A 26,881-nucleotide genomic window follows, 5' to 3' on the forward strand; every position below is an offset into this window, starting at 1 on the left:
AGTTTTTTTGCCTTGGACGAGTCACTTTTCTAAGTTTTCTGTTTTATAAAATAAAGAAATTGGACGAGATGGTTCAGCATATCCTAGATATAACGTTTCTTGCTCGTAAAGGGAACTAGTAGGGACTGTTGGGGAGTTTGTAGGAGAAAAATTCAGAGTAATAAGAGTTCAAGCAATTCAGTTACGGTTTTAGAGTTTAAACACCTAGTTTTTGATTTTTAATAATTTCTTGATTTGTAAGTATTTTAAGTTCAGGAGGGGTTTTCATTGGCTGGCATGCTAAAAGGGAAAGGAATTTTAAACATTTTATTTTAAAGAATGTGTTATTTGAATTTCAGTTTTGAAACAAAGTTATGTCAGATATTTTCAGACCTCAATGCCACCTATCGTACAATTCAAGGCCATTTACAATCTGAAAACTTTAAGGTACGTTTATTGTTTTACTATTTTTGCCCTAGTGTTTTAAATGGGTGGGGGGAGGGCATTGAAGGGCTAGAAAAGTGCATAAGACAAGTATGAGACATAAATTTAAAACTTAGATGTTACAGAAGTTACTGTTTTAAAATTCTGTCGTTTTTGTTTTTATCAAATCAAAAATTTAAAAGATACTATTTTGTCAGGTTTAATTTTAGTTTTAAATATTGTTTAAAAATTATAAATGTTAGTCTTTTTTCATAAAACATACAGAAGAATCACTTGTTTTGTAATGGTATATACTATTTGGCTGGATTAAAGACATACATTTTAATCATGTTTAGAAAGTCTATTCTGTTACCAATTTTTTTATAACCTCTTAAGCTCTAGACCAGTGTTAAGAAAAGCCAAGTGTAGTACTTCACTTATAATTGAATAAGTAAATATGCTTTCATGGGAAGAAGACTTTTTTAAGAAAAATTTTTAGTTTCGGAAGATGCCCAGTGACGCCACCATTTAGGGCATTCAGACAACTCCCATTTTAAAAGTTTTTGACCTTAAATTTTGACCATAAGTTAGAATTTAAAGACAAGTTTCAGGAAGATACAGAGTAAAGTATTAGCCAGAATTAGGAAGTACTTTATTGGACCATAAGGGATTCAGGTCAAAACTTGGCTACTTTGGTTTCCAGTTTTAGTAAGTTTCTATGTAAGTGTTTCTGGAATGTGGCTCATGGGTAGTACTAATGGTATGGGAGCTGACCTTAGGTGGTAAAGAGCAAATAGTTACTGTTTATTTTTCATTATATTTATTTTTAGGGGTTTTTTTCCTTTTAATTAGAAGGTGACATTGATTTTTTTAAAAAATATGGTAATGATATATAGTTATTTTCTTTAAAGTTTAAAAAAACATCAGTTTAAAGGCAAATTTAGCAAATCTTGATGATCATTCTCATGAACTGAAATTTGAGACATATAGCCCAAAATAAAAGTTTGTTGTCTGTTTCCTGTTTCTTTAGCAACGGGTAATGACTTGCTTCAGAGCATGGGAAGATTGGGCAATTTATCCAGAACCATTTTTGATCAAACTACAAAATATTTTCTTAGGACTTGTAAATATTATTGAAGAAAAGGAAACAGAGGTAGGCAGTCTGTATTTGTCTGGTTGTTTTTAAAATTCGTTTCTGGGGTGGAGGTTTCTTGGAGTTGTTCTGTGTTACATATGTGAGGTACATTTCTTTGTGAAAAATATCTATTGCTTACCATTAAGTAGTGGATTTTTATTGCTGGAACCCAGAAGTCAAAATTACATGTAACAGGAATTCTCTGTCTTGTGTCCTTATGTGAAAATTGGTGAGTGTTTTTTTTATTTAATGATATAAGAGTTATGATATATTGTTAATAGTAGAAAATAAGCAAGTAATAGAGCAATATGTATAGCATGACTTTATTTTGTTAAAGATAGCTATATAAGTAAAATATGTGCATGAAAAGATGCATCACATGATAGCAGATATACATCACCATTCTGTTGTTTTTTTTCTTTTTTACCTCCTAAATAATTACTGAATCCTTAATGTTTAATTCTGCCATGCTAGTCAAGCTATTATGTTTTCACTTTCACTCCTGCAGGATCTTCCTAATTGGCCTTACTGTTGCAACCCACGTGGTCCTTGTTTCAGTTTCTTAAATGTGTGTTTCCACCTACCATTGGACTTTGTACATGTCCTTCCCTCTTTCTGGGACTTATCTTCACCTGAGATCCTTCAGATCTCAGCTCAAACATAACCTTAGCCTTCTCTGACCTCTTTAAGTGAAACTTAGTATGCTAATAGTATGATACGCCCTTTTGCTGTAGCAGTTACCATAGTTACAGATAAGTATATATTGTTGTGATGATCTGATTTCCTGGTTCCCCCACCCCTGCAAAACAACAGCAAAAACCTTTACCAGGCTCTATAACAGGGGGACCAAACTTGTTTTTGCTCATCATTGCCTCACAAGGTACCTGGCACCAGTGAGCACTTGGTAAATATTAGATAAATGCACAACTGACTGCTTCTTTAGCAAACTGGATGATAGAATATGTTCTTACATTGTACCTCAGATTGTGGGTATCCAGTTATGTTGGCTTGTACTGGATTACAAATTAATCTTACAAGCAATGTGACTTCAGCAAGCAAAGGAAAATGTTATAATAGTACACATTTCCATAGGATGTTCCAGATGACCTTGATGGTGCCCCCATCGAGGAAGAGCTTGATGGTGCACCTCTGGAAGATGTAGATGGAATTCCTATTGATGCTACTCCCATCGATGATCTTGATGGAGTCCCTATAAAAAGTCTTGATGATGATCTTGATGGAGTGCCTTGTAAGTTCAGATTTCAAACTGATTAAATCTAGCTAATACATTTGGTGACCAAAACTCTAATTTCCATACATGCTGATATGGAAAAAGGTTATAGTTTCTCATGAACGTATCAAGTTATTAACTTTTCTATTTCTGATTTTTTTCAAAATTCATATACCCAGTAATACATTTATTTGTATGCTATGTATATAAAAGGCCAAGAAGAAGCATTTTTTTCTGGTCACATTTCTTTGCTGGGACAATCAGCCTCCTATAATATTAGCAAGTTTCTCTTTTTGTCTTGTCAGGAAATTATAGGCAAAATCTTGTGCTCAGTTATGCATGATCCTAGGTACCTGGTTTTATCAGTTTTTATTAGTTTTTCTAACTTACAACTTCAGTTTTCCTAGCTGCCTAAAATCATTTTGAAAATAGGAACTGTAGACAGCTCTTTGGTACATTTGAATTATATGTTTAAATATTGAATAATGTATGCAGTTTTATATTTCAGAGATTAGGTAAAGATATTAAAGATTTGTTTTACTTCTCAACTTCTTCACTTGCTTAATATATTACTAACCTGTATTTTCTGAATTGATATATATACTGTTAAAAATATTGCCCTCAGATGCAGAGAATTGGTTTAGTCATAGTCCTTGTTCTTAGTATTACTATTTGTCCATCTGTGTCCTTATTTTACTTTGCTTTTTAATAATATGGTGAATACCCATGAATGTAATACTTCGGGTCATCCACTAGTAGTCAGGGTTAATGGCTTATCTTTCCCTAATAGTGGATGCAACTGAAGACTCAAAAAAGAATGAGCCTATATTTAAAGTTGCCCCATCAAAATGGGAAGCTGTGGATGAATCTGAATTGGAAGCACAGGGTGAGTAAAAGTAAAATAAATATTTTTTAAATTAAGTACTTGTACGTTAATTATTGGTGTGCTTGTATATATGTTTTCCTTTTATGTTTTATAACACGTTTTAACCTTAATGCTCAATGTTGTCATATTTTGTGTCTAATGTATGCTTTTATTGTGGTTGGTGTTGCTGTTACAATTTTCTTAGGTCCTTCAGTTTGGAAGCTTTGAGAGTAATGAGATATCACTGAAAACCTTTCAGGTTAAGGCATTTTAGTAGCAAATGTAGATTGGAAGCTGTACCTACGTAGAAATCTACATAGAGGTCAGTTTCATAGAAACCAAGCTTTGACCCTCCCATAATGCTAGACTGATTAGATGCAATTTAGACCTGTCTTTCACACTTACTTAGACCTGTATCCTAGTGCTAATAATCTAATTGTTGCTATTTGTAGGTTCTAATGAAATAAATCTTAATATTCAACACAGAAATAAGGATGACATTATTCGTCACTTCATGAATTTGAATTATATTGTAGGTGTGAGGAAAGAGATTTGGCATATAGAAATAACTATTTAGAGAATTGATAAACATAGATTAAAAAAACTTCTGTAATATAAACTTTTCAATTCTAAAGCTTGAGCTTCCACTGTACTACTGAAAAAATGCTAGTTTACCTCGTGGAATTACATCCTCCTTTTCCTTTCATTCAGCTGTTACAACTTCTAAATGGGAATTATTTGACCAGCATGAAGAATCAGAAGAAGAAGAAAATCAAAAGTAAGAATCTAAGTTTTGAATATACTGTTTCTTGTTCATATACACTCCCCTTTTCATTAAGAGATATAGTTGAAATAATAGTGAAGTGGAAAACTTCACTCTTAAAAAATTTTGGGAGAGGATCATTTTTAGTTCTCCATTGGTTTTCCAGTGAATAAAGAGCTTTTGTTTTCTGGTCTTGATGGATCTGGTTTCATTTTGCTTTTGAGTTTTTTACGCTAGGTTATATTCTCACTTTGTAGTTACTAATTGGTCAACTGCATTTTTTTCAAACCTTTGCCATCAAATACTGTTTTGGGCTCCATAAAAAGTGGTTTTTAAAATGTGAATAGGAAAGGTTATACTCCTTTCTTTTGGATTGTACATTCTAAGAAAAAGATTGCATTATGGCCATTGTGTTATTTAAATATAAACCTTTCAGAAGAACTAAGAATGAATACAAAGGAAAAAATCTTTTCTTTTGAAATATAGAGAAATAATAATTTTGATTTTGCTGTTTGGTAATCACCCCAAAATTGTTTTTGTATTTGACACTGTGTGGTTGTAGGAATCTCTCCTCTCAGATTCTCCTGCAAGTCTGTATTGGCAGTTTTTAGGAAGTTCTTGACACTTTTTAAAATCATTGCAAAGGGAGTTGAATTTTTTTTTTTTTTTTTTTTTAAATGAGTAGGAAGAGATGGTATCACAAACACAAAGCACAGGTTACTGTCTTTAAAAATTTTGCGTTCTTCTATTCTCCAATGGAAGTGGGAACAAAGAGAAAACCCCTGTGTGTCCTAGCACAATATGGGCATTTGTGTGGATTTAATAAATGGGCATTTGGATTGTTGGGAAAATGTGATCAATCAGCAGGCTATAGAAACACAGTTTGATACGATGGTGAAAACTTGTCTACAATGATGTTTTTTCAGAAATGTTGGTGTGATTAGAACAAGTCAGCAATGATGATGACAAAATATTTACATAATGTTATAGATGTGGCTTGCTAATGGAAATACCTATCTGAGGCTGTTTAGGAATACACAAATTGAGAACCGTTTAGTTCAGTTTGCTTTAAAACAGTGGTTTTCTGAACCCTTTTTATGTTCGTGATCCTATGATTAGTAACATCTTACCATTTTAGAATCACTGCTTTAAAAGTAGTATACGTACTCATAAAATAATTATTTAATTTAGGGGGAAGGAAGGGTAGAAAAGCCGTTGAACTGAAAAAAGTATTGTTCTATTAGTTTTATTTCTAAAGGTATTAGTTTTTTGGCATAAAACTGATATTTGTGTTAATGTTTGGAATATGAATACATTTTAGCATTGATGTTGGAATACGCATACATTAATGGAAGCCTGGATCACTAGAAGTATAATTTTAGATTTTTCATTTTTCTTAGGAATTTCAGGTAAATCATGATAATGTAAAAATAACAAAGTACAAAGCAAGGAAAAAAAGCTTTTGTGCAGCTTGTGATCCTTGAAATGTTCTCATGCCTCACTACTACTCTCTAGTGGCTGAATCCTAAATGTCTTTTTACTTAAGGCTGATTTTGTAACTAGTAATTATTATATTTTGTGGCAATATTGTGATTCGTGGCAGAAATGTGATTTTTAAAGCATGTTTTGGAGAAAAGTTACAAAAAGCAGTTTCATTTGTATTGAATACTGTATGGATTTAGAATCTTGAATTTGCATGTCTTTTTAAAAAAAGAAGAGGAAGAAGCTGTGATAAGATTTGAACCTCGAATTGTGGCTAAAAGCTAAGGCCAAAACCAGTTTAGAAAAACTGCTTAAGCCTTGAAAAAATTATAATAGCAATTTAAAATATTTACATATTTTAAATCATGAATAGAGCTCATTTAAAAAGTCTTAAGTAATATGGTTAAATGTTTAATGTTCAGCCATCTAGACCCTTTCTGTGTGTATAAAAACATGCATAACTATTGACATAAATGATGTAATATTACTGTACATGCTATTCTGTGACACGTTTTTCATTCAATGTCATTGGTATTATGCCATTTTAATCTGTTTACCTGTTCTGTATTCATCTATGATTGAAAGCAAACATTTTGGTAAACATACAAGGATGTTTACCAAAGAATATTTGAAATTGCAAAAAAAAATTAGAAAAAATTTTACAGGCTAGAATTGGTTAAGTAATCAATATCTGCTGTATTATTGTTTCATAGTAACTGTGACTCAGTTTAACAAAGTCACGTCCTTATTGAGTCTTCTAGAATAATTCTTCAGTAAACATCCCTGTTTACATAAACACACATACACTTCAATCTAAAAGCATCTGAAACACTTGTATAATTTTATGTACCATAAAACAGGAAATTCTTGTGTTTTAAAAAAATTAACTAAAAACTGTATTTAGGAAATTTATGACAAATTAATGAGAAATATTAAGTAAAACTTTTTTTCCAAGAAGAATATTTTTAAACTGTTGGTTTGGACTTTTTTCTTCCTTAGCTAATATTGTATTGAGTTGTACCTGTATGGTGATATTAATGATTTGTGTGGTTCTGAAGATGAAGTTAGTAAAATATTTTAGTAATGTCTAGAAAGGACCTTTGGTTGAGAAATTTAAAAGCTAGTATCAGAGTTTTCTCAGTACCATATCTTTTCTGATTCTGAATTGACAGCCTTTCTTTTTATCTGCCTGGTGTAAATTTTTCTCTCATACAATGAAGGTCTTATTACATAAGACTTTAATTAAATTTTATTTGGAAAGAATTTGATTATAACTTTTTACATTATTAAGAATAATTCTACATGTATATTAAAAGGAATCTTTCTGCTCATCGTAGAATGTCCTTAGTACCCAAATACCAACATAGAAGGGCTTGCGAGATTCAAGTATTAAAGGCAAAACAGCGTTTGTTCTGGGTTATGCCAGTAATGTTATCACAGTCAACATTGTTTGTAAGGAATTTTGTTTGTATATATATAAACATTCTGAGTTTGTTTGTATATGGGTATCTTGTTTTGCCCAGATTTATTTGCCAATAGTATACACACACACACACACACACACAACCCAGTCTCAGAATGTATTTTTTTTAAAAAAACCATTTGTTCTTTGTGCTTCAAGAACATTTGGTTAATCCTGTACTAGCATTGATGACCAGCTTTACACACAGTTGCCTGTTTGTGTTTCCACTAGACTGCTTCTGGAAGGACAGGAGAATTTTTCTTCTTTGTATCCTAAGTGACTTACTCATGATAGTCTCTCAGGTTTTTATTTTCTTGTCTGACCCAGAACCAGTGCAACTTTCAGAATCAACTGAAATGTGAATACCGGTATTTGCTAATATATAAAATGCATACATTGCTTTATTATTAAGGTTATGTGCTAATCAGATAAGGTCTTTACCAGCTGTATTGGTTATTTCTTAGTAACTCTGTGACTCAAGCTCATGTATTTTCTAGATTGATTATAGGCTCTGCTGAAGTTACTAAAGGCACACATACAGCTTTTTTTATTTTTAATTTTTTTTAATTTTCATTTTAAAAGTTTTTGGGGTACAAGTGGTTTTGGGTTACATGGATATATTATTTAGTGGTGATTACTGAGATTTTGGTGCACCTGTCACCTGAACAATGTACACTGTACCCAATATATAGTCTTTTATCCCTCACCCCCCTCCCATCCTTCCATGTCCCAGAAGTCCATTGTATTATTCTTATGCCTTTACATCCTTATAGCTTAACTTTCACTTATAAATGAGAACATAGAATATTTGTGAATATTGTTGCTCACAATATGAGTGAAATAACTCAGGAATGGAGAACATAAAGCTTCTTGAAATCACTCTGAACTGTGAAGTATGCAGAAACTTGATTATTCGTTTCATTTAACTGCTGCAAGGAAAGTTTGTTGCAAATGGAAGGCACACAGATAACAACATAAGCAGAATTTATTACAGTATGCTTATGTTGAAGCTCACACATTTTCTGTGGAGGAAAGAAGTGTTTTATAAAATTGTCTGTAAAATATTGATAAAATATTTTGCAAAATATGCTTGAGGTATGAATTGTCCTATTATGTTTTGGCTATGTTATTTAAGCTCTAAGACAATGAAAAATAAAATAGGTAGACTGTAAAATATGGTACTCTCTTGCTGCCTTGACATACAATGTATTCTGCTTGTTTCTAAAGTCAAGAAGAAGAAAGTGAAGATGAAGAAGATACTCAAAGTTCCAAATCTGAAGAACATCATTTGTACTCTAATCCAATCAAAGAAGAAATGACTGAGTCTAAGTTCTCTAAGTACTCTGAAATGAGTGAGGAAAAACGAGCCAAACTTCGTGAAATTGAGGTTGGTGTTGCAGTGAAACTTAAATTACACTTTATTGGCTTTTCACTTTCTCCACCAAACTAAGTTGCCTCTTTGCATTGTACCGTAGTACATACTGTTCCTTCTCTCTGCTTAGAACTCTTCATACCAGATGACTTTTCTTCAGGCCTCTTAGTTCAACCGTCTGTTCACTCACAGCCTTTTCTTACCCTTTTGGACTTACTTGCTTCTTCCTATTTATTTCTGTGTGATTTTATATGTATTGTGGGGTATGTATGTGAATGTGTATTTTGTTTGTTTGCTTACTTGCTTGCTTGCTTATTTAATGTCTGTCTTCCCCATTAGGCTGCACTTTCCATGAAGGGAAAAGGCCATGTCTGTTTTCTCTTTATCATTGTATGTCTAATACATGACACATAGGAGATCCTCTGAAGAAATGGATTCTAATGTATAGATTATATGTATATATATATATATATATGTAATACATTATGTGTTATGTACTGTGAGAAATCCATTTTTTTTTTTTTTGAGATGGAGTCTCGCAGTGTCACCCAGGCTGGAGTGCAGTGGCGCAGTCTCGGCTCACTGCAAGCTCTCCCTCCTGGGTTCACGCCATTCGCCTGCCTCAGCCTCCGGAGTAGCCACCATGCCCGGCTCATTTTTTTGTATTTTTTTTAGAAGAGACAGGGATTGACCGTGTTAGCCAGGATGGTCTTGATCTCCTGACCTCGTGATCCGCCCACCTCGGCCTCCCAAAGTGCTGGGATTACAGGTGTCAGCCACCACACCCGGCAAGAAATCCATTTCATCTTGAGTGTTCATAGTTATGCAACTAGGAAAAAGTAAAATATTTTCTGGCATATTCTGTTATGTTTACATTTTATTAGGCTCATTTTTAATGTCTGTACCATATGAAGGAGAATAGACATTGAGTGGGTCTTAATACTAAAAGATGGGGAAATGTATAGAAGAGCCCAGACTATCTCAGGCAGACATTTCCCTCCCTTTCCCTTTTCCCCTCTCCCCTCTCCTTTTTTTTTTTTTTTTTGAGACGGGGTTTCTTTCTGTTGACCAGGCTGGAGTGCAATGGTGTGACCATAGCTCACTGCAACATCAAACCACCAGGCTCAAGAGATTCTCCCATGTCAGCCTCTGGAGTAGCTGGGACTACAGATGTGCACCACCAAGCCCGACTAATTTTTTTTTTGGATAGAGATGAGGTCTCACTATGTTGTCCAGGCTGGTCTCACCCTCTCCTTTTTAAATGCCTTTTCTTTTGTCCAAGGCTATTCAGACATCTCAGAGAAGGGCTTTGTAATGCCCTCAAGGGGATGAAATATTCCCAGTAAATGCTAGCAGTAGTTTAGCAATCAGTCTCAAACCTCTAAAGAATGTATGAGAGTGAATTTTCATACTGTATACATTCATTGAACGGTATTTTTGAATGCCTACTGTATGTCAGTACTATCTCCCTTACTAACTTATGATACCTATCACATTAGTTACCTCATTGCCACTTCTCCACATAGTCACTGTTGGGCTGATAAAAGTTCTTGCCCACCTCTTTGTCAGACATCACCAAACTGAAAAGTAAACAGACAGCATTTTGTTTTAACCTTATGTAGAGTCAGCGTGGTGTCATTTTTAAGTAGAGATGAAGGATTTTCAGAGTTGATTAGTTGATTTATTTTTTCCTGGGATGTATTCATATACATTTTAAATATTTTTCAGGGGATAAGATGTGTGTCAGTGAACACACTCACCTGTGCACCTTTTCAACCTACACATGCTCCTCTTTTACTCCTCTCACCTTATAAGAAGCTCTGCCTTGGCCAGCTGCGGTGGCTCATGCCTGTAATCCCAGCACTTTGGGAGGTCGAGGCGGGTGGATCACGAGGTCAGGAGATCGAGAATATCCTGGCTAACACGGTGAAACCCGGTCTCTACTAAAAATACAAAAATTAGCCGGGCATGGTGACGGGCACCTGTAGTCCCCGCTACTCAGGAGGCTGAGGCAGGAGAATGGTGTGGACCCAGGAGGCGGAGCTTGCAGTGAGCCAAGATCATGCCACTGCACTGCAGCCTGGGCGACAGAGTGAGACGCCGTCAAAAAAAAAAAAAAAAAAAAAAAGAGCACTCCCTTTCTGACCTGATGAAAACTGTTGGAGTAGAAATAGACTTGAGTTAAATAGAAGTGTATTTTCTTGATAATACAAGCTATTCCCTCATATAAATGCCCCAACTGTTTAGTATGTTCTGTTTCCTTATTAACTTAAAGAGAGGAAAGCATGTAATTTAGCTTTTTTGTTAACTTAGGTCGTTTTTACAAACCTTATTCTTTCCACCTTGTATACGTATATATGCGATACACGTGCATGCACATTGCACACATATATGCATACATTTCCATACTTCATGTGCTCTTTTGTAATCTGGCCTGTCCTTTATGTATTCAGTGATTATTTCTCCTGCTTTCATAGTGACTGCCTCTCACAACTTAGTTGTCTTTCTGGGATTTGGACCATGAACTAAGTCCTGATTTTAAAATGTTTATCTTGGCTTCATCTTAAAATTATCTAATCTTCTCTTGTGTTTCCTCTGAGAGATTTAGTCATATGGAATAAAGTTCCACAACAGGTGGCAAACTTGGACTAGAACTCGGAGCTCATGAGCTTTATCCCAGGGCTTTTCACAACTAGCTCTCTTCTCTGCCCCTAAATTTGGATATCCATTTCGAGATTTAGAATCCAAACCCTTTTATTGGAGAACCATTAAATTAAGAATAAAGTTCTAAATCAGTTTCTCCAATTAGTTCTATTATATTCTATAGTATATATACTGTAATTTTGCATCCCCACGTGTGTCCTAATAAAGATACCTATAGCTGAACAGTTTGTAGCATGGAATAAATAAAAACCAAATGATTCGTGTTATAAAATACTAACATCCTTTGTAAAAACACAAAAATCTTGTACCTATATGATGTTGTGGTGGCCAGAAGCCAGTTCTTTTTTTTTTTTTTTTTTAGTTTATTTTTTATTTTTTTTTATTTTTATTTTTTTATTTTTTATTTTTTTTTTTATTGATCATTCTTGGGTGTTTCTCGCAGAGGGGGATTTGGCAGGGTCATAGGACAATAGTGGAGGGAAGGTCAGCAGATAAACAAGTGAACAAAGGTCTCTGGTTTTCCTAGGCAGAGGACCCTGCGGCCTTCCGCCATGTTTGTGTCCCTGGGTACTTGAGATTAGGGAGTGGTGATGACTCTTAACGAGCATGCTGCCTTCAAGCATCTGTTTAACAAAGCACATCTTGCACCGCCCTTAATCCATTTAACCCTGAGTGGACACAGCACATGTTTCAGAGAGCACAGGGTTGGGGGTAAGGTCACAGATCAACAGGATCCCAAGGCAAAAGAATTTTTCTTAGTACAGAACAAAATGAAGTCTCCCATGTCTACTTCTTTCTACACAGACACGGCAACCATCCGATTTCTCAATCTTTTCCCCACCTTTCCCCCCCTTCTATTCCACAAAACCGCCATTGTCATCATGGCCCGTTCTCAATGAGCTGTTGGGTACACCTCCCAGACGGGGTGGTGGCCGGGTAGAGGGGCTCCTCACTTCCCAGTAGGGGCGGCCGGGCAGAGGCGCCGCTCACCTCCCGGACGGGGCGGCTGGCCGGGCAGGGGGCTGACCTCCCCCACCTCCCTCCCGGACGGGGCGGCTGGCCGGGCGGGGGGCTGACCCCCCCACCTCCCTCCTGGATGGGGCGGCTGGCCAGGCGGGGGACTGACCCCCCCACCTCCCTCCCTGACGGGGCGGCTGGCCGGGCAGAGGGGCTCCTCACTTCCCAGTAGGGGCGGCCGGGCAGAGGCGCCCCTCACCTCCCGGACGGGGCGGCTGGCCAGGCGGGGGGCTGATCCCCCCACCTCCCTCCCGGACGGGGCGGCCGGCCAGGCGGGGGGCTGATCCCCCCACCTCCCTCCCGGACGGGGCGGCCGGCCTGGCGGGGGGCTGACCCCCCCACCTCCCTCCCGGACGGGGCGGCTGGCCGGGCAGGGGGCTGACCCCCCCTCCCCCCTCCCGGACGGGGTGGCTGGCCGGGCAGAGGGGCTCCTCACTTCCCAGTAGGGGCGGCCGGGCAGAGGCGCCCCTCACCTCCCGGACTGGGCGGCTGACCGGGCGGGGGGCTGACCCCCCCACCTCCCTCCTGGACGGGGCGACTGGCCGGGCAGAGGGGCTCCTCACTTCCCAGTAGGGGCGGCCGGGCAGAGGAGCCCCTCACCTCCCGGACGGGGCGGCTGGCTGGGCGGGGGGCTGACCCCCCCCACCTCCCTCCCGGACGGGGCGGCTGGCCGGGCAGGGGGCTGACCCCCCCTCCCGCCTCCCGGACGGGGCGGCTGGCCGGGCAGAGGGGCTCCTCACTTCCCAGTAGGGGCGGCCGGGCAGAGGCGCCCCTCACCTCCCGGACTGGGCGGCTGGCCGGGCGGGGGGCTGACCCTCCCACCTCCCTCCTGAACGGGGCGACTGGCCGGGCAGAGGGGCTCCTCACTTCCCAGTAGGGGCGGCCGGGCAGAGGAGCCCCTCACCTCCCGGACGGGGCGGCTGGCCGGGCGGGGGGCTGACCCCCCCCAACCTCCCTCCCGGACGGGGTCAGAAGCCAGTTCTTAATCTTTCACATACCACTGAGAGCAGTGCCTAGGCTGGAGTTTCCTTTTCTTATTCTACTATTGTCCCCATTTCTACCAACAAGGTTGGAAGAGTAGAATAGTGGGTGGGGAACCAAGTGGAGGGTCTTCTGTCTTGTTGGAAGAGAGAGATCACTTTCTGTCCTGGTCCCTGAGGAAAGAGTGAACAGTTGAGTTGGAAGGTGATACCTGTCTGTTGCCTGAAGGCAATAAGGGCTGGATAGTTAAGAAGCCATTGCATGGGCCACTTCCTTTTGTGTTGAGACCCTTGATCATCTGTTTTCTGTGTGTCTTGGACTTGTGCTTGAGCCTCAGTTAGACTGTATCAGCAGGAACTATAAGTAGGGATTGTATAGTGATTTTTAAAATGATTATCTTAGGAATCCCTTCTCTCCCCTAAGTAACATTTGGGTCTGTTGTTTGACTCTTTCTAACGCAAACTGATTTACTACAAATACATTCTGTGGAAGAGTCATCTTGGTCACGAGAGGCTTCACACAGCGATGAACTTAGCTATTTATGTTGCCCACCCCACCCCCTTGCTTTCTCAGCCTTACATCTTATCTTTTTAAATGCAGTCATGATTAAAACACACGAAAAATGTAGACTTTTAGAGAGCTTTGAAAGAAGAGAAGGAGAGAACATCAAAGCTCTGATTATAAAAGACCCTGATTATGGAAGTGAAAATATGTCTGAAATCCCACCACTTTGGGAGGCCGAGGTGGGCGGATCACTTGAAGTCAGGAGTTTGAGACCAGCCTGGCCAACATGGTGAAACCCTGTCTGTACTAAAAATACAAAAATTAGTCAGGCATGGAGGCTGAGGCAGGAGAATTGCTTGAACCTGGGAGACTGTCTGGGAGGCGGAGGTTGCAGTGTGCCAAGGTTGCAGTGCACCTGGGTGACAGCGTGAGACACCGTCTCAAAAAATAATTAATTAAAAAGTGAAAATAGATGGAAAAAGGACAGAATTGGAGAACGTATAAGAAACATTCATGAAGTCAAAAATAGTGAAAATGCCACTTGGGGCCGGGCATGGCGGCTCATTCCTGTAATCCCAGCAGTTTGGGAGGCCAAGCTGGGTGTATCACCTGAGGTCAGGAGTTCGAGACCAACCTGGCCAACATAGCGAAACCCTGTCTCTGCTTAAAAAAAAAAAAAAAAAGATTCAAAAATTAGGCTTGGTGGCGTGCGCCTGTAATCCCAGCTACTTGGGAAGCTGAGGCGGGAGAATTGCTTGAACCTGGGAGGTGGAGGTTGCAGCGAGCCGAGATTGTGCCACTGCACTCCAGTCTGGGCAACAGAGTAAGACTCCATCTCAAAAAAAAAAAAAAAAAAAAAAAAAAAGAAAGAAAATACCACTTGGAATGGGGAGAAATGGTAAAGACTAATTTGTAATAAAGGGGGGTAACAAGCAAATGAAGTCTTGTTTTTGAAGTATAAATAAAATGCTGTAGTAGCATTTAGTCCATTTAAAGGATATATCAGTGTCTGAATAAAATAGGATAAAATGTTAGCATCTACAGTAATTTCATGGGACAAGAATGCTTCCTCTTTCTCTTTGAGTGGAACAATATTGAGCAGATTGGCAGCCCAGTGGTATCATCCAAGATCCATGTGCTTTCTACCACTTGGAGGATCTTCCAGGTCCTCATACTTTTCACCTTATTTGTCCTCCCGTAGAATTCAAGAAGAAGGTATTTTCACCCTTGTAAATTTTTTGGATAATTTAAGCTCCTTTAAGCCTTAGGATAGTTTTTATTTTAACCACTTTGTGAAGTTTTTATTTTTAAATTCAAAATAAATCATGAATTTATTCTTTTTACTATTTTTATATAGTACAAAATTTTAAGATACTTATATCTCCAGAATAAAAAGTAAAATTAAGCTCACTTATTGCAGGTTTTTCCTCTCCCTGTAACTGATTTTACTAGTTTTTTCAGATCTTTATCCATTGCCAGTATATAAGTATATTACATGTATTTGTTTGTGTGGAGGTGTATTAGCCAGAAATCTCTGGGTAAAGATGTAGGTGGTCTGTTTTTACAAACAATGCTGCAATGAATATCTTGTAAAATACCTTTGTGCACTTATATAGGTAATAAGAGATGGAAGTTTTTCTGGTCTGGTTTTTTTTTTTATTTTAGACGGAGTTTTGCTGTTGTTTCCCAGGCATGGAGTACAATGGTGCCATCTCGGCTCACCGCAACCTCCGCCCACCGGGTTCAAGCGATTCTCCTGCCTCAGTCTCCCGAGTAGCTGGGATTATAGGCATGTGCCACCATGCCTGGCTAATTTTGTATTTTTAGTAGAGATGGGGTTTCTCCATGTTGGTCAGGCTGGTCTTGAACTCCTGACCTCAGGTGATCCGCCCACCTCGGCCTCCCAAAGTGCTGGGATTACAGGCGTGAGCCACTGCGCCCGGCCTGGTCTGTTTTAATCAGTATTTGCTCTTACTGTCTCATAAAGTACCCTCCAAATGTGATTTAACCTTTTCTTTGTGTTTTGATATCTGGTGATTGCACTGTGAGTGAAACCTTCAGACTGTGTGCAGCTTTGTGTTTGGTCTTACATGAGCTGAACCAGAATGCCACAGCCTTCCCACCTCCCATCCCCGCCTCTTTTTTAAAGATGTTTAATCTGCATTCTGACTGTCATATCATGCTGGCAGTGTGCGTGTCTTTAGCAACCTTGCTTTTCTAATTTGGGGAACCAGATACCAAATTTGTTATAATTGTGTTGAGAGAATAAGTGAGTTCTTACAGCCATGAAGCACGGTTCACGGTTTTTGAGTCCTCTCATGACCAGAGAGGGTTCCCATCTGGTCAGCTGATTTTTGCCTAGTTGGACTTGTCTGACAAGTGGCCTTCAGGTGAGGTTATATTTTGACTGAGTACTAATTAGTTACTACTTTGCTATAGAAAAGAAGCAAAACAGTGCTTGAGAATCTAGAATGATGAAAATGCTTATTTTTAAAATATTTTATTTCACAGCTCAAAGTTATGAAGTTTCAGGATGAATTGGAATCTGGGAAAAGACCTAAAAAACCAGGCCAGAGTTTTCAGGAGCAAGTAGAACACTACAGAGATAAACTTCTTCAACGAGTAAGGAATAAGTATACCCAATAATACACATATTTTGAAGTTATTTATTTGACTTCCTAGAATACTGGTATACCTAAAGATGATTTCAAATTATATCCTTTGTATAAATTTTGAATACTAGTAGGGCAATCAGAAACATTTGAAATTTGATATTTTAAAAGTATTTTGATTGGAAAGGAGCTTAAAGGCAGCAGCACACTATTTTATTCTGAGTATTACCTGTGGACAAGAAGATTAATTCTGCTAAGAGCATGCTTTCAAAACTGGAAAACCCTTCAGGACAAGTCACATTTTGTGACAGTGAGACGCCAACAACCCTGAGAGGTAGTACAGAAAGAAAAAGATGGAGGCAGGGTTTGGGAAGTTCTGGTGTTGAGAAGTTTATTTTCATTTCTCATGGTTTCCAGGGAGGGACAGCAAGTGGTAGAATACCTCATTGGTGAGCTCTGAGTGTTTGAGGGACTTTATATTCTCGTGCATCACAAAATTTATAGGCATGTGCAGAGAATTTTAGAACCAGGAACCTCAGGAATTTTGTTGAGACTGTCGTTGCAAAAAAAAAAAAAAAAAAAGAAAAACCAATAATAATGAGATTATATAGAAAGTGAAATAGGAAAGAGCCATAAAAAGGGAACTTACAATCACTATAAAGCTGTTAATGTACAAAACGTGTTGGGGAGCAGTCTGGTAAAGCAACTGTGGTGCTGCTCAGACCTGTGGAATGCTAGTACTGCTCTCTGCTGTGTACTCCTAGGCAAGTCACTGCAGCCTGCTTTTTCTCTGAAACTGGGTTGATACTCCCAATTTTGTAAGATTATGAGTTAGATAATAGCTAATATTATTACTGTTACTCTTCATTATAAGTATTTTAGCTATACGGTTCCTATAAAATAGGCATCTCAATTAGGAGATCATTTTCATTTTCATTATCAATCAGGAGAATGCATCCTACAGATCACCAGAGGGAGTCAGTCTGCTTAGCACCACTGTTTAAAAGTTGCCCTCTATATATTTGGAAAAAAGATAAATGAGATTTTGTAAAAGATGCTACTTATGGCTGGGCGCAGTTGCTCACGCCTGTAATCCCAGCACTTCGGGAGGCCGGGCAATCACCTCAGGCAAATCACCTGAGGTCAGGAGTTCAAGACCAGCCTGACCAGCATGGATAAACCCCGTCTCTACTAAAAATACAAAATTATCTGGGTGTGGTGGCACATGCCTGTAATCCTAGCTACTCAGGAGGCTGAGGCAGGAGAATCACTTGAACCTGGGAGGCGGAGGTTGTCGTGAGCTGAGATCGTGCTATTACACTCTAGCCTGGGCAACAAGAGTGGAAAACTCTGTCTAAAAAAATAATAATAAGATGCTACTTACCTATACCCCATAGGAGATTACACCTTGAGATGCTCACTGTTCTGATGGTAGCAAGCACAAAATACATAATATTTGTGTTACCACTTTAGTCTCCTTTGATTATAATTGGAGAGAAGGAATATGGTCCTTGCCTGATTCTGTAAATAGTTGTATTAGAACACAGCCATGCACCTTGACTTAGGTATTTTGTAGGGTGGCTTTCACTCTGCTGTGGCAGAGTTGAGTAGTTGTGGCAGAGACTGTATGTGGCCCACAAAGCAGAGAGCATTTACTGTCTGGCTCTGTACAAAAAGTGTTTGCCAACATCTGGTATAGGTTCTTTTCACCTTTTAGAAATCAGAAGAATCAGCTATCACATAGCTTGCTTGATGCATATGAATCGTAGAGAAATTAAATTCCATTTAGTGAAGAACTAAGTTAGTTGTGTGGATTTATTGTCTGTAGCCACTCCTTTAATTATATACCAAAATCAGAATTTCAAATGAGAAGTGGCAGTTGTAGCATCTGGGGATAAGCAAATGTGTTGGTTTTTTTTTTTTTTTTTGGTTGATTGTAGAGTCATGTAGTCAGTTTGTATTTAGGATTTAAAATTTGCAGTGTAATTGGTACTTGTTTCCCACTAATAAAACTTCGATGGAAGATTATTGTGAATAACCATTTTCCTTTTCTAGCCTTTTTTCTTTGGTAAGAGCTCTTTTTGATTAAATCAATTTGTTTATAGTTAGAGGGATCACTTTTACTGACTATTTTATTGTAACTTATGGAAAGGGCAGTACATTGTTAGCTTTTTCTGATTGGAATTTTTCGGCAGGTGGGACAGTGGGGGAAGAGCTCTGACTCTAGAGCTTGGTCTCAAATTCTGACCTGACTCTCCTGTGTGACCATGCACATGGTACTTAATCTTTCTGAGTCTCAATTTTCATCTCTAGAATGAGGATAATAGTAATTTTCTTAGGGATGCTTTAAATGATTACATGAAATGGTCTGTGGAAAGCTGTTTAGTATATTGTTTGGCCTGTGGTAAGCACTCAGTAAATGTATAGCTGCTGTTGCTAGGATTAGTTTTATTCAGTATAAGCAAAAGAAATGACTAGTTTCCCTGAAGGGGTAGATTTTTTTTTTTTTAATAGTATTGTACCTTAAGTAGTAATTTAAAAAATTATTTCCTGTAAGAGAAGATATTGTTCTATAAATGAGATTAACCCACATTGATATTTTTAAACAACTTAATATTTTCTATAAAAAATAACAGGAGAAAGAGAAAGAGTTAGAAAGAGAACGAGAAAGAGACAAGAAAGATAAAGAAAAATTGGAATCTCGCTCCAAAGACAAGAAGGAAAAAGATGAGTGTACTCCGACAAGGAAGGAAAGGTATAACATTTCTCATATTTAATTGCATATACTGGTTTCAAGATTTGCAGTGGTGTTTTATAATACTTTCATCATTGATGCCCGCAAACTGGAAGTGTTTGTTCATGATAAACTTGTTTGGGTCCTGCTTGCAGAAGGCAGAAATAGCGGAGAAATGGGGCATTTAGTTGGCACTTGACTTAGTTAACCAGGGCATCATCCCTTCACATGGTTTATATGGTATCCTTAGCCTTAGTTCAGTGCAAGGATTCAATTACAGTATTAGATATCAAACCTGAGGTTTAAGTAACAAAACAACTTGCTAGATTTTCCTTGTTGCATCCAATTTAAGCATATTTTCCAGTATCTGTGCTGAGGCTGCTACTTGTAAACTTGAGTCTTAGTCTTATCTTGAAAGGAGGTTGTATACATAGGCCAAAGCTCACCTTAAGTCTTCATTCTAATCAAAAGCATTTCTCTTTCAGTTTTTATGTCTTACTCTCACGGTTCCTAAATCTCTGATTGAGTAAAGAAAATTGTTTCCCTTAACTGAACTGAGGTTTTCCTAATAAAAAGACCAAGCCATTGCAAATAAAAGTCTAGCTTAGTCACGCTACAGATAGTTACAAATAACAAGTTATGCCAATTGGTTAAAAGTCTGTCACTTTTTTGACTTTTATTACTATTTTGACATAGTTTTAGATTTATAGGAAAGTTGCAAGAATAGTATAATTGATAGTTACCCTTCACCCACATTACCCAAATGTTAAAGTATTTCTACTTTTGCTTTATTCTTCCTCTTCTGTCCCACCTCCAACCATTTAAGAATAATTTGCCAACATGATGCCCCATTCTCTTAACCACATTCAACATTTTAAAAAACTGATATTTAATCCAGAGACCTTAATTAGATTTTGCCAGTTGTTTCAATAACCTCTTATTGCAAAGAGAAAATCCAATTTAGTTGAATTCAGTTGTTGTCTCTTGACAACCTATCTTTAACACTTATTTGTTCTTGTTACAAAGGACTTTGAGTATTGTTAAAAGTAACATTACATGGTTAGAATAAAAGAGTAAGCTGGTAGCAATTAATAGCTAATTTAGTAAAGGAAAATGAATACCCGATCCTTTGCTCATTTATGGAATGTTTTGGGGGCTTTGTTCCATAGGAAGAGGCGACACAGTACATCCCCCAGCCCATCTCGCAGTAGCAGTGGTAGACGAGTGAAATCCCCATCACCAAAATCGGAGCGATCAGAGCGTTCAGAAAGATCTCATAAAGAGAGCTCACGGTCCAGGTCATCTCACAAAGATTCTCCTAGAGATGTTAGCAAAAAAGCCAAAAGGTAAATGCAAGTCATTTTTGCTAATATTTCAGATACCAGTTTCCTTGTCATTTCATCAGCTTTTGAAAATAATTTGGTTGGCATACATTTTTTTTTTTTTTTAAGGATTTTAGAAAACCAAAGAGATACACTTTCATTTTTGGTTATTCCTCCCCACCTCCTCATCCCAATCTCTTTCATGACTGAAGTGAAGGCTTCCAACAAGTGAGGACCAGCCAAGAATTTTAAACATCATATCCAATGTTTTCTGTGGAATAGGGTTAGCTGCTTTACTTTTCGTTCTGTTCTTTAGTTTCTATAGAATATTATTTGATTTTTGTCAAAGCTGAAAGAAACACACATTTTTCCCCCATAGCAATATTATTAGCAAGTTCTTGGGTAGATATTTTTGGAAATACATATCATGAATACCATTTTTTCAGTATGTATTTTAGTATTTTGTATACTTTTTTTTCCTTTAGTTCCAGAAAAATGGTTCAGAAATGTTTTATTTATCTGGTGATACATAGAGGAATTTTCCTGAGAGCTAAAACTGCTTTGTATGCTAATACTTTATTATTGTAACTATTTTTAGTAAAATCTTTACAGAATAGATACCTTTCTCCTTTTCTAAATGGCACCTGTATATATATGTATGTATGTGTTATATATGTATGTATATGTACATGTATCTTTATTGGTTTAAGTAATCCTTCATGAACAGCACTTACAAAATTATGTCTTAAATGATGCCCTTGAATGATACTGCAGTAGTTGTTTGCTTCAGGATGATAAACTTCAAAGCTGCTGTGTTTTTTAAATTTTGTGCATGATCTTAGGTGCAACTTTGAACTTTATCTTGTAGATTAAAGGTTCAAATTTGGGGGTTATCAGTCACTTATGGAGCTTGTTAAAAATGCAAATTCTTAGTTCCATCCTCCAGAGATTTTGATTCAGTAGAGCAGTGATAAGGCACAGAAATCTGTCTTTATAAACAAGCGCTCTACTGATGATCATTGATGCAGTGCATAGTAAGTACAAAATAATCTGTGTGTGTGTGTGTACAATAGAGTTTAAATTTTAGAAGTTCATAGTCTTATTGCAGTGATTTTTCACTGTGCCCTGTTAAAGATCATTTTCGATCGTTTAAGGATAAACAGTTTTGATCACATGAGTACTTTATCAATTGGGATTTTTTTGTTTGTTTCCTTAGATCACCATCTGGTTCAAGGACACCTAAAAGGTCTAGGCGATCACGGTCTAGATCTCCTAAAAAATCAGGAAAGAAGTCCAGATCCCAGTCCAGATCTCCACACAGGTCTCATAAAAAGTCAAAGAAAAACAAACACTGACGTAAATTTTTAAGATGCTGTCACTTATTGGAAATGCGATTTGTTTTGTGCCTGAACGGTCTGTTTTTTAAAAAAACAAAAAATCAAATGAAAGAGCATTCCTGGGGTTTTTTGTTTGTTTGTGTATGCATGTGTAAACTCATGAGCAACTGCATCTGTAGATCTGTCATTGTTTTATATTGTGTAAATTACTTTCATTGTGGCTATTTCTCAAGATGAAATTTTTATTGTTCTAATGGATTTCATCAGAAATGTGTATAATGGATCTGCTGACAGTAGTAGTATTTTGTTTTAGGATGTTGTGACTTAGCAAAAATAATACAGATGTCTTCCCCCCTTTTGTAGCTTTGACAATTTGAATTAGATTTCAAATAAAATCTGAACAGAAAACTATAATGTTGTTTTTTTGCCCCACCGGTGATATTAAGTCCCTTAAAGTCCTACTGAGTTTCACACTACTGTTGTGCTTCTTATACCTGATGCACTTTATAAGCCCCAGTGTTCAAGTAGCTTAAGTTTTATATTTACTAAGATGACTATCCAAATTAAGGGACCTGAGACTCCTATTTGGTGGTTTGCTAACCATTTGCTTTTGATAAGTTTCTCTTGGGTAATACTAATACCCAGATATCAAAGACTAGGTAGATATGGCATGGCGTTTTGTTAGTGGAATGCCTGGCTAAAACATTTTTTTCACAGAAGCAATATGATTTCCATACATCCAACCCATGTTCTGAGCAACTACTTACTTTTAGGGGGAAATTAAATATCTTTTCATTTCCTCTTCTATTATGAAAGAAGTTTATTTGTAAAACAAATTTTCTAACAAGGTTTGGCCATAGAATTCTCTTGTATGATCGTTGACCTTTTATAATCTTCTGTAGGCTATCTTTCAAACACTGGCATCAGAATATTTTTTATAAGTTTGTGTTTAAACAGCTTAGTTGGTCCCCCCCCACTCCCAAGAGACTTGGGTTTAGTTATAGCTTTAAGTAAAATTTAAAAATAAAATGTTTTTCAGGAAACTTCGTATCTAATGGTTTGTAAATTCAAGGTGCAAAAAGTTGATTTAAACCATTTGCAGAGTTGAACTCTATTATGAAAATAAATTTGCTACGGTATGAGGAAGAAATAAAACTTGTGTAATGTTGGTCATAATACTGCTATAAATATAATAAAGGGTTATGTAGAATTGAACTGACACTATTATTTGTGAATCTTGATTTCAGTTTTTTATGTAGGCACTTCATACACTGGTTTGATGGGTTTTTTTTTTCCTCCCTAAAAGAGAAAGTAGAAAACTATTCTAACAATGGATTATTTTGATTTAGCTTGCTTTTTAAAAAAATCTTTTCAACTTGTTTTACTTAATCTTGCCTAGTCACAAAATAAGATGTGCACCCATGGTTTGGAGAGTTCCTATATTAGCTGAGCAGTGAGATACACTATTTCCAAACGGTGCACACCTACAGTAGCTTTGGAAATGAGCCAATCACTGTTTTACTTAATGGTTCTTATCAGCATGCAAATATTGCTTGAAAGTTATTTCCTTATTCACTGTTTTGTTAGTCCATTTTGTTAGGAAACATTAATTCCTAAAAATTTGTTCAGAATAATTAAAAGTGAACATTTGGTGCTGATACTCAAAAACCTACAAATGTAGCCATTTAAAAAGTAACATGTTTTTCTCCCCTGCTCATTGCCTGGGAGAATGGAATTTTATATAACTACCTTTCTTTGCAAAAATAACGGTCGTGTCGAGTTGGTGGTGATTTTGGCATTCCATCTTGCACTGGTTTCTAGTATAGGCTTAGAAATAATTGGTCAGGTAATAATCTTTCCAGTCAAGTTGCAAGGGATGCTTATTTCTCTTCAAAAAAAGACATCCTGCGGGATTGAGTAGAAAATTTTAGGTCAGTTTTGGGTGCTTATTTGTAATATTTTTCCTACTACATTGGAGTTTAGCAGTTCTTTTTTTCTGGATCCAGATACAAGTGTCATGGTTTATCTTACAGTGGGTGAAACTGACTTTCTTTTGGTTGGGTGGGTGAGGATTTCTTAGGCCTGATAGAATATATATTCTGTGAAGTTTGTTAATGTACATATTAGATTGTATTGGATTTTTTTTTCTTGAATTGCAAATGGTATTATTAGATAGGTTATTTCCAGTTTTACTTCATGACAAATTACCTAGAGTAAACCTACTTAATACTCCCATGGATTCTATGAAAGTTTAATGGGATCAGAAATTGGTGACTTATAAGGGGGAAGATATTCTACCATATTTTTATAATAGCTTATTATTCATGTTTCTTGTCTGAAGGACACTCAAGTTACAGAGCAAAATTTCTATAGGTTGACTAGAATGTTCATAAGCATGGTCTTCCAGTTGCAGGAAAGATCATGTTCTATCTGTGGACACTTACTGTCCTCTACCACAGCTACGTGCCAGAGTTGTTTTCCACAGTTCTTATAAAGGGCATGACTTAGGCTCTTTACCCTCCAACTTAATGTTTATACACAGGGATTGTTTACTAGGTTAATGACATTTAACTCCCCTCTCTTCTGTAGGTGAGAGAAAATAAGTAAGTCTTGATCTGTTTCTTACCAAAGAGAGACAGACCTATGATGGAAAATGATCACGTCTCTGAATTTTTTCTTTAACGTTATAGTTCCTTATTACAGATAGTAAGCATATGGGAATTTCTGAGCTATAACATGTTGAGAAGTTAGAAATTAAAACTAACACAACAAAAGGCGCTGAATCAAAAGATCTTTGCTTTTATTTGGCTCAGAATGTTTTTGGCTTTTCTGCTAAAGATGGCAGAAATTACTCTACACAGACCTGATTTTTCTTTATTGCAGACCATTCTTGTGGGCTTACCCTGAGACTTTTATCCCAATTAGTGAATCTTGGAGGGAATACTTGCTTATTTATGACTTAGGTATTTCCCCCCAAACTTTAATATTCTTGAGCACTTGAAAATACTTTTGAGAAATTTTAACTGTGATTAAATTTAGGTTTATTAGAAATATTCTGTACACATTTGCCTCCATGGTGGCGTAAGTTCTGAAAAATTATATGACCGTGACAATAGTTTATCATCATCATTATTGTTATTCAAAATAAGGGTAAATAAATCTCTGTATTGCCAAAGTGACTTAAACTGTTCTGATGACCACACAGTGTGATTTCTTTAGCAGAGAAAGTTGGTTTTAAAAATAAATAGTACCACTTTTCTAAGACTGTACAGTTTACAAATAAGGTTTTTTTCTTTGTTGTTTTCCTCTTCTATTAAGTTTTAGTGAAAAGCCTAATTACAGAAAATTGTGCAGATACTAGTGAAGATACTAGTATAAGTTTAAAGGAACACGTGACTGTAAAATCTCACATTTACAAAGTGCTTGATCTCTTCATATTTCACACGCATGTTTTAGAATAGATTTTAGGGAGTGTTTAATTCATTATCCTTTTGACTTAAAATTTTTGTTACCAACTTCCTAGGACTTAGATAATATATAAATAAGTACAAATCCCAGGGGAAGTGTTGTGATGCTAGACTAAAAGGTGGGAATGTGCTGCTGTTCCGTGAGCCTTGTTCCATTGTTGAAAATTTGATGCCTCAGTGTTTATTCAGTACCACCTCATGGAGCTTCAATGTAAATGGATTATATGTATAATTGGTAATTTGTATAGTTTTGTAGATTGTAGATTAAATGCACTCATCATGTCACATGTAATTGTGCTTGGAGTATTTGTGTTTTATTCTTTTACTTCAACGGGTTCTTGTCTGTTACATCTCTGGTGATTTGAAATATCAGGAAAGACAGTTTGTCAGAAATGAGAATAATATAGTTGAAATCAGTTGGGCTAAAATATTCTACAGCAAGACAATTTCTTTTGGGTGAACTGATTCTATAATTTACTTACTTTTAATGTAAGGATTAGATTTATTGTTGAGCTGCTTTCCAGATCAGACTGTCACTTTATAGTTTTTCTACATAAAGATTATATAGTTGCAAACAAAGGTTGTGAAATTTCCCTTTTGTTGTTTTTGACTTTTAATTAATAAAAGTACATTGTTTTCATAGCAAACTTAGACTGTCCATGTAATTTTCTCCATATTGTTTTTCCGATGCAAGCCCAGTTAATAATTAGTTTTTTAGCAGCTTTCTCTCAAGTGAAATAAGTGATGTGACATGTTTATCAGTTATGGCTAAAATGTTACACTTTACATGTTTAAACTATAATCATATGTTTTCATGCTAGATGGTTCTCTTGGTTAGGAAAGTTCATTTCCTTATTGGTTTCCTTTTTTAAAAGTTATTTTATTCTGTTTAATTGAGGAAAATTTTAAACATTCTACAAAAGTAAAATAGTACAGTGAACCTTACATACCATAAACATGCAGATAACAACTTACATGTATCTCTAAATACTTTGTTTTTAAAACATACCTGCAGTGTCATTGTCACATTAACAAATCATTGGGTCCTTTTAAAAAATGACATTTAGTTATTTTAATTGTGAGAAGATGCTCATAACAAAATTTACCTCTTAACAAAGTGGTGTTAGGTATACTCATATGATTACGCAATTTCCAGAACTTTTTTTGTGTTGCAAAATTGAAACTCTGTACCCATTAAACAACTCATTTCCCTCTTCCTCCCCTGTCTCTCAGTATCATCATTCTACTTTCTGTTTCTGAATTTGACTACTCTAGATACAACATATAAGTGAAATCATACAGTATTTGTCTTTTTTTGCGACTGTTTTATTTCACTTGGCATAATATCCTCGAGGTTCATCCATATTATAGCATGTATATTGTTTCCTTTACAAAGCCCACTTTTTCTTTAAGTTTCCATATTATGGAATTTGAAAATGATTTAGCCCAAATGGTTCATTAGTATTTTCTATTTTGAGTAAAAACTTCAAAAGAGAACATGTAATACCAAGTGTATATGCCAACTACTCCA

General features: G+C 36.9%; 1 protein-coding gene across 4 annotated transcripts in view, besides 1 other annotated feature; it reads left to right on the top strand.

The window, feature by feature from the left end:
* Positions 1-26,176, top strand: part of U2SURP (U2 snRNP associated SURP domain containing) — a 59,156-nt gene extending 32,980 nt beyond the window's left edge. For all 4 annotated transcript variants that reach the window (NM_001320222.2, NM_001080415.2, NM_001320220.2 and 1 more), the window contains 10 exons: positions 339-426; positions 1,433-1,555; positions 2,630-2,786; positions 3,559-3,654; positions 4,345-4,411; positions 8,568-8,727; positions 16,390-16,500; positions 19,127-19,245; positions 20,394-20,570; positions 21,763-26,176. In NM_001320222.2, the coding sequence (NP_001307151.1) occupies positions 339-426; positions 1,433-1,555; positions 2,630-2,786; positions 3,559-3,654; positions 4,345-4,411; positions 8,568-8,727; positions 16,390-16,500; positions 19,127-19,245; positions 20,394-20,570; positions 21,763-21,901 (1,237 nt within the window). In that variant the 3' untranslated portion in view covers positions 21,902-26,176. The remainder of the gene's footprint in view (positions 1-338; positions 427-1,432; positions 1,556-2,629; positions 2,787-3,558; positions 3,655-4,344; positions 4,412-8,567; positions 8,728-16,389; positions 16,501-19,126; positions 19,246-20,393; positions 20,571-21,762) is intronic.
* Positions 26,601-26,670: an enhancer, noted in NCBI's record as "active region_20647". NCBI's record gives its function as "activates an Ori minimal core promoter by ATAC-STARR-seq in GM12878 lymphoblastoid cells {active_cell/tissue: GM12878}" and the evidence as "EXISTENCE:reporter gene assay evidence [ECO:0000049][PMID:35858748]".

This window comes from Homo sapiens, chromosome 3, assembly GCF_000001405.40.
Source record: "Homo sapiens chromosome 3, GRCh38.p14 Primary Assembly".
NCBI classification, from domain to species: Eukaryota; Metazoa; Chordata; class Mammalia; order Primates; family Hominidae; genus Homo; species Homo sapiens.